The sequence below is a fragment of the Homo sapiens genome, chromosome 1 (genome assembly GCF_000001405.40).
Source record: "Homo sapiens chromosome 1, GRCh38.p14 Primary Assembly".
Lineage (NCBI taxonomy): Eukaryota > Metazoa > Chordata > Mammalia > Primates > Hominidae > Homo > Homo sapiens.
In genome coordinates this window covers 242,765,666-242,778,302 of record NC_000001.11, presented here as the reverse complement: position 1 = coordinate 242,778,302, position 12,637 = coordinate 242,765,666, and the positions used below count along the sequence as shown (strand labels likewise).

Below are 12,637 nucleotides of genomic sequence, written 5' to 3'. Positions count from 1 at the left end.
CGTAGCTCCTTTCCCTGTGGTAACAGAAATTCCTAGTCATTGCTCTGGGGAAGAAGTGCATTTTATTGACTAATCTTCCAAACAAACTTTAGTCTCATTTTGTCAATTTCAAGTAAAAAATCCTTTTGGAAATTTGACATTAAAAATAAAATCTTCGCACCCAAGATCATGCAATATCTCATTTATTTAGGTTTTCTCTCACACTCTAAAGTAATATTTTATAGTTTTTAAAAATACTATCTGGCACATCTCATAAGGAGAGTGTATTATGAATGGGATCTTTTTTTAAAAAATTATATTTCTAATTGGTTATTTTTCATGTAAAACTTCTGATTTTTATATGTAGACCTATCTGGCCACCTTACTTGATTCTCTTCTTTGTTCTAAAACAAATTTCCAATTGATCATCTTGTGGTTCTTTGGTAGACTGACCCAGGTTTATAACTTTATATAATCTTGCCACTTATTTTGACAGAAAATGTAATTTATTTATTGTGTCTAGAATTGATCTGGTTTCCTGGCTTGTTAGTTAGCAGCGAAAACATTTAAATGTTAACATTAAACAGTCAGTGTCAGCCATGCACAGTGGCTCACACCTGAAATTCCAGCCCTTTGGGAGGCCGAGGTGGGTGGATCACTTGAGGTTGAGACCAGCCTAGCCAACATGGTGAAACCCCATCTCCCTCTACTAAAAATACAAAAATTAGCCAGACGTGGTGGCTGGCTCCTGTAATCCCAGCTACTTGGGAGGCTGAGGCAGGAGAATCTCTTGAACCCAGGAGGTGGATGTTGCAGTGAGCCGAGATGCGCCATTGCACTCCAGCCAGAGCAATAGAGCAAGACTCTGTCTCAAAAACAAACAAACAAACAAACAAACAAAAAACAGTGTCGTTTATTCCAGTCTAACAGTTGAAGTAGTCTCTTTAGTGTGTTCTCAGTCTCTCCAGGGAAAGGAAAAAAAAAAGCACAGTTTTTTGGAGAGCTGGCCCCTTCCCTTTTAATTTCACCAAGATAGGGTCTGGGTATATGAGGAAAATTGCCCTGTCTTAGTGGTGGTGATGAGAAGGAGGATTCGGATGGGTGTAATACTCTTATTCTGTCTTCTCTGTGGTGACATCTTTGCTCTGATGGACTTCAGTACAGTAGTCTCTGGACACTGAATTTACAACTCATTTTTTTTTAATTTATTAATGCTCCTGGATGCAGTGGTCATACTCACCCCTCCCCACAGGCCCCAGTCCCTCTGCCCCTGCCCTAACAACATGCAATCCCCTCAGTTCTTGCTGGCTGCACCCCTGAGTCTTAGCCTCATTCTCTGCCTAACCCTCTGGCTTGATGGTCCCTCCCACCCTCTGCTCTCAGGTCACAGGTTCCCAGACTCTGAATCTCGTGTCCTACTGGATAGGAATTGATGGTGGCCTGTGAAAACTAAATTTCAATACCTCACTTTGCATGTATCTCCAATTTGCTTTAGTGTGTTTTAATCCCATTATGGTTTTGGGTAGTGACATGGTTTGGATCTGTGTCCTCATTTATATCTCATGTTCAATTATAACCCCTAATGTTGGAGGTGGGGTCTGGTGGGAGGTGATTCGATCATGGGAGCAGATTTCTCTTGAATGGTTTAGTACCATCCTCTTGGTACAAGCCTCATGACAGTGAGTTCTCACGAGATCTGGTTGTTTCAAAGTGTGTGGCGCCTCCCCCTCTCCTTTCTCTTGCTCCTGCTTCTGCCATGTAACATGCCCGCTCCCCCTTCACCTTCTGCCATGATTGTAGGCTTCCTGAAGCCTCCCCAGAAGCTGAGCAGACATTGGCACCATGCTTTCTATAAAGCCTGTAGAGCCATGAGCCAATTAAACCTCTCTGCTTTATAAATTACCCAGTCTCAGGTATGTCTTTATAGCAATGTGAGAATGGCCTTATACAGGTAATCTATGAATCGGACTCCACCCAGAGCCCCAAATGGGAAACAGGAGACACGAGACCTCTCTGTCCTCAAGTTTTATCCTCATTTATCTTATATATCTGTCTCTTTTCTTGCCCAAAAGGGTAACCTGGGACCACATTGACCAGCTTCGCTGTCTTGCATCCCTTTCTTCTGAAGCCCCCCAAAAAGAAAACAATTATTTGAAACTTACCTTTCACCATTTTTTTTTTCCATCATGGCTTTGCAGTCATAGAAAGACTTGGTGTCTTTTCTGCTCCCTCCAAAATTAATCTTATTTGCAAGTAAAATACTACTGCATTTTTTCTTTTTGTAAAACCAAATTATAATCTCTATCCCTACCTGCCCCTCAGTAATTAGGATAAAGATCATGTACTAAATGATTCTGAAGACATTGCTTTAGTTACAAGGTTATTAAAATAATTGCAGATAATTTTGTTTCTGTCTTGATTTTTCTTATCTTAGTGGCACCTAGAGGCTCTGGCCAGGGCCTCTAGGACAATGTTGAATAGTAGGACTGATAGAAGGTAGCTACCTTATCCCGACTTTCATGAGGTTACTTTAAATGTCACTGTCAAGTTATGATGTTTTCTGGCAAATATCTTTAAGTTAAGGAAAATGCCTTCTATTTTTAGTTTACTAAGAGTTTTCTTTTTTAAAGATTAAGCATTAAATGTTAGTGCTTTTTTTTGCTTCTATTGGTATTGCCTAATTTTTCTACCAGGTTAATATACCCAGGTAAGTAAAACACCATTCTGCCCAGGTAAGTAAATCGCTATTTCTAGCTATTCTAATCATTTGAATTGAATTTATCTGGTGGCAAACAATGACTAATAGGCATTTAATAGCAATAAAAGAGGAGTGTGTTGAAAATACAGTGGGGATATTTTGAAGAAACAAAGAGCTGAACAATGAAAGCTCAAGGAGAACCAAGACTGCTTGGAGGAGCCAAGCAACAGAAGCTAGCAGATCGCATTGCTCCTACGACACCATCGTATCATTTACCCCCAATTACCTTTATTACCTTATGATTTTTTTTTTTACTTTTAAAATGGTTTCATTTTATGTCCAAATAATGAACAGATGTTGTACCCATAAATTCTACTTTCCAAAAACAATTAGGAGCTTTTTAAAAGAAAACCACATAATAAATTTTTAAAAGGCACTGGGATTCCTCTGCTTCTAGATCATTGTTAGGCTAGAAAAATAAAGTTTGTTCTACCAGGAATCACAGGTTAGAACCGAATATTCTCCAAAGTGGAAATTCTAGAGTGTAATGCCATTTCAGGCAAAGATTATTCAGTTCTCATCCCCAGCATCCACATCTACCTATCAGAAGGGTTAAACCAGGTCAAAACAGTCCAGCATAATTAGGCCTCATCAAACAATGTCATTATGCTCTTCTAAGATGCAAATAAACCAAAACAGGAAATACTAAAATCACAATAATATTTGACGCTGTCATACAAATTGTTAGTTCCTTGTTGTATCCCCTCTTCTATAACATTAATAAAAGGAATATTTTACTGCAAAGAATATTTTAATTTATACATCACTAGCCATGAATTTTTGCCATTCATTGTTATACAAATGCTACTGAAAGGTGACAACGTGCTAGCAGTCCTCGCTCGCTCTAGGCACCTCCTTGGCCTCGCGTCCACTCTGGCCACTCTTGAGGAGCCCTTCAGCTCACCACTGCACTGTGGGAGCCCCTCTCTGAGCTGGCAGTGAGGGGCTTAGCACCTGGGCCAGCAGCTGCGGAGGGTACGCCGGGTCCCCCAGCACTGCCCGCCCGCCCGCTCCGTGCTTGAATTCTCGCCAGGCCTCAGCTGCCTCCCCGCAGGGCAGGGGTCTGGACTTGCAGCCCGCCATGCCCGAGTCCCCCCCCAGTCCATGGGCTCCAGCGCGGCCCAAGCCTCCCCAACGGGCGCCACCCCCTGCTCCATGGTGCCTGGTCCCATTGACTGCCCAAGGGCTGAGGAGTGCGGGCAAGCCGTGTGGGACTGGCGGGCAGCTCTGCCCATGGCCCCAGCACGGGATCCACTAGGCGAAGCCAGCTGGGCTCCTGAGTTGGGTGGGGACTTGGAGGACTTTTATGTCTAGCTGGAGGATTGTATATGCACCAATCAGATCTCCGTGTCTAGCTCAGGGTTTGTGAATACACCAATCAGCACTCTGTATCTAGCTAATCTGGCGGGGACTTGGAGAACTTTTATGTCTAGATAGAGGATTGTAAATGCACCAATCAGCACTCTGTGTCTAGCTAAAGGATTGTAAATGCACCAATCAGTGCTCTGTGTCTAGCTTATCTAGTAGGGACTTGGAGAACTTTTGTGTCTGGCTAAAGGATTGTAAATGCACCAATCATCACTCTGTGTCTAGCTCAAGGTTTGTAAACGTACCAATCAGCACCCCGTCAAAATGGACCAATCAGCTCTCTGTAAAATGGGCCAATCAGCTGTCTGTAAAATGGACCAATCAGCAGGATGTGGGTGGGGTCAGATAAGGGAATAAAAGCAGGCTGCCTGAGGTAGCAGCGGCGACCTGCTGGGGTCTCATTCCACACCGTGGGTTCTTTGTCCTTCTGTTCGTTGCAGCAAACCTTGCTGCTGCTCATTCTGTGGGTCCACACTCCTTTTTTGAGCTGTAACAATCACCACGAAGGTCTGCAGCTTCAGTCCTGAGGCCAGCGAGACCACGAACCCACCAGAAGGAACAAACATCTCCAGACGCGCAGCCTTTGAGAGCTGTAGCACTCACTGCGCAGGTCTGCAGCTTCACTCCTGAAGTCAGCGAGACCACAAACCCACCTGAAGGAAGAAATCTGGACACATCTGAAGGAACAAACTCCCGACACATCATCTTTAAGAACTGTAACACTCACTGCGAGTGTCCGTGGCTTCTTTCTTCGAGTCAGCAAGACCAAGAACCCACCAATTCCGGAAACAGTACCTACTGCCATTATCCCAATGGCATAACCATTTTATGTCCACAATTCACTTCTATAGTTATAGGTAGAAGTTTCATGATTTACATGAGTACATCTATCGGTGTAGATTTTACACTAAGATTCAATCTAACATCCGTAATAGCTGATGTTTTGAAGACAGTAATGTAGGAAAGATATATTTTAATCACTTTTCATTTAAGTGACCATATATAAAAAAATAAACCAATAATTTAGCAGTTCCAAGTCTCCAAAGGACATTTTCAAATGTACATCAAGAAATGGTTACAGAGATGTTTAAGAAGCGTCTTCATGTCTACATCCTGTTGTAACTGCTGTACTGTTTTCTCTTCCAGCTGCTTCTCTTTGCCTTCAAGAGGGACTCGGGTAAGATGGATGTTTTGCTTGACTTCTTGGATATCCTGGACTTTCTGTAGCTCTTTATTTTTCCTTAATCTGTTTATTATACATTTAGCTTGGCGTTTCTGTTTGATCTCTTCAACTCTCTTCATTGCATCAATAGTTTTATTCCATAGGTCTCGCTGGATTTGATAGGTTCATTTCTATGTTATTCAAATTCAAATGAATTATCCACTGTAAGCTCTTTACCAGCTGCTTCCCGGAATGCTTTAGTCCACCTAACTTTGCAAGGATTGTGCTGCTTTTTAACTTTTTTATGCCGTTTAGATTTACAAAATCTGAACACCTTGCAATCATTGCGGATGAACGTTATGCCATGGCCAGGGTAGATGGGCCCCAAACAGAAATAATGCTTCTTGATACACGTGTTGAACCCGCGTGGGTCCCCACCAGCCAAATGCCAAGCTTGAGAGGAAGTGACCACCTTATGATGTTTTCAAGAACTAAATTTCAAGCAGAGAGAATCTTATTTGTCTGGTTTAGGTCACATGTCTACTCCATGGTTGAGCAGTAGTAGTGTGGGCTCTTCCAGAATAGGGGAGGAACAATTGCTTAAAGAAAGTAGCATTACAAAAAGAAGTTTAGGGGTAGTTGGTGAGAAAGAAATGTGTTAGGCAGGAAAAACGCTATCATAGTACATGCTAGAGTGGATTTGCCAATTTTTAAAATATTTTTTCATCTATGTTGTGCATATATATTTGCATCTCAAAGATGGAATTAGTTTATTTTGTGCTTGTTTGAAGTTTTCTATTCCTTTTGGTATATTTTAAGCAAAGTTTAATTAATACAAAAACTTTTTTTCCTAGATTGATTGGTAGAACCTGCCTGATTCTGGTATATAATTACTATTTGTTTGGTTTTAAATATATATTTTTGGCTCATTTATTATTTGTTCCATGAATAATGGTGTACTTGGGTTTCCTTGCCTCTTGAGTAAATTTTGACAATTTATACTTTCGTAGAAAATGGTTTATTTCATGTAAATTGTCAAATCTGTTGCTATAAATTTGTATCCAATATTTTCCTATATTTTAAGCATTTCTTCCTACTAGTAGTTCAGGCATTTTTCTCATTCTTATCCTGCTTATTTGTGTTTTCTCTTTCTTCTGAAACAGATCTATTTTATTGGACTTTTCAAAGAAACTGCTTGTGCTTTTTTCACGTGTTCTTTAATTAAATGTGCTCATTTGACTTCTATTTCCATTGATTCCTTTCACTTTTTACAAGTTATTTTGTTGCTGACTTTCTTGCTTCTTGAATTGAATGCCAGTATATACATTTTTATTACATTTTCTCAGATTCTCACTTGGAGGATCAAAAAAATAACAGTGGGCCCCATTATTACTTTTTCCCATGGCTTTGGAAATGATCGTGTCAATGAAGGTTATGTTTAGCTGCATAAAAATAATAACAGAAATTTAAATAAGTTAGAAGTATATTTCTCTTTCACACAGCAGAAATCTTGTGGATAGGCACTTCAGGCTGAAATGGTGGTTCAGCTCCCACAGTCACCAGGGATGACTAGCCCGCAGGCACCCTAGTGCTATTCTGTTATCCTCAGCACATCATTTCAACCTTAAACTCCCCTCATTGTCTTATACAGCTGCTGGTCGTCATCATGCCTGCATTTTAGGACAAAAGGGACCACTTCTCAGCTGAGTCAACTCTCTTTAAGCAGATTCCTGGGAATGCTCACATATCACTTTCACTTATATCTCATTGGTCATGGAAGAGAGCCAGAGAAAAACAGATTTTCCATGAATCCATTGTTATTTTAATGGTAGTCCTATCTTGAAGACAGGGAGAAGGAATATTAGATAGGAAATAGCAATCTCTGCCACAATGATGAAGAAACCAAGTTGTATTGATATCTGCTTCTAGATCAGACACTGAAGATGCTTAGGATGGGTTTTTTCAGTTTAGTAGATATTTTGGAAGCATGGGCTCCTTTGGCATCCCAGCTATCCTCTCTTTAGAGCTCAGGTCATTAGAAAGAGTGGTGGAGAAGACTTCAGTGTGAGCTTGGCCTCCACTTATTATGAGGGACGTGTAATTGCAACCCCTCTGAGTATATTTCATTACTTAAAAATTGAGAACTTTATCTGATACCTGTCCTACTTGTTTTCTAAGATTGATATAAGGCTCAAATATGCAATAAATTAATATTTATTTTATGTGTGTATTTACTATATTACATATTGTAGTATAATATTTATTTGCTATATCCCATTCTGGGATATAAATGTTCTCCATACAGGATTTAATTTCATTGAGAGCTTGCATTCACACTGAAGATTTTACTAAGCATTTATTAAGTGTCTACTATGTGGAGGATATTAGGATTCAGTGGTAAATAAGACAATGTTGTTGCCCTCCTGGGATTTCATTCTGTCAGTGAGTCAGACATTAAGTAACACATTACAGAATGCATTGCTTCATGACAAATAGTCTAGGTGGCGTGCAAGCTAAGCATGGGGTCCTGTGAGCACTGAAGGAGGAACTGTGACTTACTGTGGAGGGTCAGGGAAGGCTTCCTTGGAAAGAGACATGGACCTGATTCTGGAGGAGGATTAGAAATTAGGGAAATTGGTGAAAGGTTTCCACAGATGAGACATTACATATGAAAAACCACTAATAAAAGGATTAAAAATGTAGTGATTCATTTTAAGAAGGAAGCGTTGTAAAGATCTGAGTTTGGAAGAGGAGGAAGAAATGTTCTGAATTTTTCATTTCTCCTGTTTCCCCAAATGCCTACATGTATGTGTTCTTCTTCACACAAAGAAGAAAATTGAGCTAAAAGTTGTATAGCTCTTAGTTTTACTGTAATTATTTTTATCAAAAAACTGTATTTCTTTAATTTTATTTGATCTTGTCCTGCCAAAATCTCACTGAAGTTGGACTAATAGATAATCTGAGAAATAACACCTTGTACCATTTACCAACATAGTTGGGAGGCTGTGATGCTTGCTGTCATTTTCTGAATTTCAGTGATACCCAAGACCAGGGTTCTCCTCAATTCTCTCTCTTACTCATGAGGCCAGAGCTCAGCAAACGCCTTTGTCAAGAGACACGTAAGAGCTGCCAGTTGGTAATTTTCAGTATCAGCAAACTTACATGTTTGGCTCTCACAAAATAGTCACAGTCAAGAAAAGGTGGGAAGAGAGTATTGAAGCAGAGTGGGAAGCCAATCAAAATACCAGTGTTCTTTATTTACTCATGATTCTATGGCAAATTTGAGCGAAAATGACTTATCTTGAACTTTTTTTCCTGAGGATTAAAAGCTCTTGTAGTGCAGGTACAGGCCCTGCAGTGGCTCTTCAAGATCTGTGACACACGTGGTATTAAGTCCTTTCATGTGACTTTTCTCCAGTCTTCATCTCTAACAAAATGGACAAAAAGTTACTATATCCACTTTTATTTTTATTCTATTTGATTTATTTTTTTTGTTTTAAATTGTATTATTATTTTAATTGACAGATAGAATTGTATATATTTATTGTGTACAACATGATAGTTTGAATTGTATATACTTGTGGAGTGACTAAATTTAGCTAATTGACATATGTGTTACCTCACATAGGTTACCATTTTTGTGGTGAGAACACTTCATATTCACTCTCCTAGCATTTTTCAAAAATACAATATATTGTTAACTATAGTCATCATGTGGTACAAAAGATCTCTTGAAATTACTCCTCCTACCTAACTGAAATGTTGTATCCTTGGGCCAACATTCCTCCTCCCTCTCTGCCAGCTACTTCAGACCTTGGTAACAACTATTCTATTCTCTGCTTCTAGAAGATCAGCTTTTTTGGATTCCACATGAGTGAGACCATGTGGTATTTGTCTTTCTGTGCCTGGCTTATTTCTTTTGACATAACATCCTCCAGGTTCATCCATGTTGTTGCAAATGACAGGATTTCCTTCTTTTTATGGCTGAATAAATAAGGAAAAAAATAAGGCAATAAAGAATAAAGAAGGAAAAATTTGTATATATATACCATGTTTTCTCTATCCAGTCATCCTCTGATGGACACTTAGGTGGATAACGTTTCTTGGCTATTATGAATAATACTTCAATAAAAATAGCAGTAGGGAAATAGGCATACTGATTTCATTTCCTTTGGATATATTTAATATATCTAATAGTGGGATTACTAGATATGGTAGTTCTATCTTTGATTTTTTGAGGAAGCTCTATACCATTTTCCGTAATGGCTGCATTAATTTACATTCCTACCAATAATGTGTGAGGGCTCCCTTTTCTCTACATCCTTTCCAACACTTGTTATCTTTTGTCTTTTTGATGAAGATGATTAGTGATGTTGAGCATTTTTTCCATACGTTCATTGGGTATTTGCATGTCTTATTTTGAGAAATGTGTACTCAGGTTATCTGCCCAATTTTTAATTGGGTTATTTGTTTTATTGCTATTAAGTTGTTTGAGTTCCTTGTAAATTTTGGATACTAACCCTTCATCAGATGTATGGTTTGAAAATATATTCTCCCATTCTGTAGGTTGTTTCTTCAATCTATTGATTAATTCCTTTGCTGTATAGGGAACCTTTTAAATTTGATGTTATCTCATTTATCTATTTTTGCTTTTGTTGCCCAGTCTTTTGGGGTTATATTTTAAAAATCACCGTCCAGACCAATATCATGGAGCTATTCTCGTATGTTTTCTTCTAGTAGTTTCATAATTCAGTCTTGTATTTAAGTCTTTAATCCATTTTGAGTTGATATCTGTATATGTTGTGAGATAAGGGTCTAATTTCCTTCTGTATATAGATATTTAGTTGTCCCAACACCATTTATTGAAGAGACTGTTCTTTTCCCATTGTGTTCCTGGCACCTTTGTTGAAAATCAACTGACCGTCAGTGCATGGATTTATTTTTGGGCTCTCTATTCTGTTCCATTGGTCTATGTGTCTGTTTTTCAGCCAGTACAATGCTGCTTTGGTTACTCTAGGTTCGCGGTATATTTTGAAGTCAGGTAGTGTAATGTTTCCAGCTTTGTTCTTTTCGCTCAAGATTGCTTTGACTATTTGGGATCTTTTGTGGTTCCACGTTGATTTTAGAATTGTTTTTCCTATTTCTGTGAAGAATCTCATCAATATTTCAATAGGATTTCACTGAATCTGTAGATTGCTTTGGTGAGTATGGACATTGTAACAATATTAATGTTTCAATCCATGAACATAAGGGATCTTTCTATTTATTTGTGTCTTTTAAAATTTCTTTTATAAATTTTTAAGGTTTTAAGTTTAGAGATTTTTAAACTTCTCGGTTAAATTTAGTACTATTTTATTTTTTGTAGCTATTATAAATGGTATTTTTTTAAAATTTCTTTTTCAGGTAGTTCAACATTAGTGTGTACAAACACTATTGATTTTGTATGTTGATTTTGTAACCCGTAACTTTACTGAATATGTTTATCAGTTTTAACAGTTTTTGGTGGCATTTTTAGGATTTTCTATATGTAAGATCATGTCATCTGCAAACAGGGACAATTTAACTTCTTTTCCCATTTGAATGTCTTTTATTTCTGTCTCTTTCCTAATTGCTCTGGCTAGGACTTCCAATACTATGTTGAATAGAACTGGCAAGAGTAGGCAGCCTTATCTTGTTCTGGGTCTTAGAAAAATAGGTTTCAACATTTTTGCCATTTAATATGGTATCAGCTGGGGTTTGTCATATATGGCCTTTAACATGTTGAGGTGTGTTCCTTCTATACCTAATTTGTGGAGAGTTTTTATTATTACAGAATGTTGAACTTTGTCAAATGCTTTTTCTGCAACTATTGAAATGATTATATGGTTTTGTCTGTAATTCTTTTAATACAATGTATCATGTTTATTGACTTATGTATTTTCAACCATCCTTGAATATCTGTGAGGAATCCCACTTAATAATGGTCAATGATCTTTTTGATATGCTACTGAATTTGGTTTACTAGTATTTTGTTGAGAATTTTTGCATGTAAGTTCATCAGGGTTATTGGCCTGTAATTTTCTTTCTTTTTAAAATGTCCTTGCCTGACAGAAAACCAAACACCAGATGTTCTCACTCATAGGTGGGAATTGAACAATGAGAACACATGGACACACGGTGGGGAACATCACACCCTGGCGGGTGAGGGGAGTGGGGAGGGATAGCATTAGGAGATATACCTAATGTAAATGATGAGTTAATGGGTGCAGCACAACAACATGGCACATGTATACATATGTAACAAACCTGTATGTTGTGCACATGTACCCTAGAACTTAAAGTAAAATAATAATAATAAAAAAAGCTATCACAGATACTCAACAGGAAACTTCAGAAATTATAATTTTGATATTTATATTAAAAAATAAATAAATAAAATGTCCTTGCCTGGCTTTGTTATCAGGGCAATGCTGGCTTCATAAAATGGAAGTCCTCCCTCCTTTTCAATTATTTGGAAGAGTCTGAGAAGAACTGGTATTGGTTCTTCAAATGTTTGATAGAATTTAGCAGTGAAGCCATCAGGTCCTTGTCTTTTCTTTGTCAGAAGACTCTTTATTACTGATTCAATCTCCTTACTCATTATTAATGTGTTAATATTGTCTGTATCTACATAGTACAGGCTTGGTAGGTTTTATGTGTCCAGGAATTTATCCATTTCTTCTATGTTATTCGATTTGTATATAATTGTTCACAATAGTCTCCTTTGTCTTTTGTATCCTTTATTTTTTGTAATGTAGTGTAATGTCTCCTTTATTTTTACATTTTTTTTGTAATGTAGTGTCTCCTTTATTTTTAAAAGAGACATTATTTTTAAAGGGGACATCACATTACAAAACTAATGTTTATTTTTGTAATGTTTCTTTTATTTTTCTGATTTTATTTATTTGAGTCTTCTACCTTTTCTTAGTCTAGATAAAGTTTTGTCTATTTTGTTTGTCTTTTCAGAAGACAGACTCTTGATCTTCTCTATTGTTTTTCTAGTCTATTTCATTTATGTCTGCTCTGATCTTTATTATTCACTCTCTTTTATTAACTTTGGGTTTAGTTTGTTTTTGTTTTTCTAGTTCCTTTGGGTGCAATGTTAACTTGTTTATTTGAGGTTGTTCTTCTTTTTTGAGGTAGGCATTTATTACTACAAATGTCTTCTTAGAACTGCTTTTGCTGTATCCTGTAGCTTTTGGTATATTGTGTTTCCATTTCAGTTTGTCTCAAGAAATTTTTTAACCTCTCTTTTAACTTCTTCATTGATCTATTGGTTGCTCAGGAGCATGTTATTTTAATGTACTTATGAATTTTCTGAAGTTTCTCCTGTTATTGATTTCTCATTTTAT

General features: G+C 37.6%; 1 pseudogene; it reads right to left on the bottom strand.

Annotated features, from left to right (window-relative positions):
• RSL24D1P4 (ribosomal L24 domain containing 1 pseudogene 4) lies at positions 2,989 to 5,733 on the bottom strand (annotated as a pseudogene).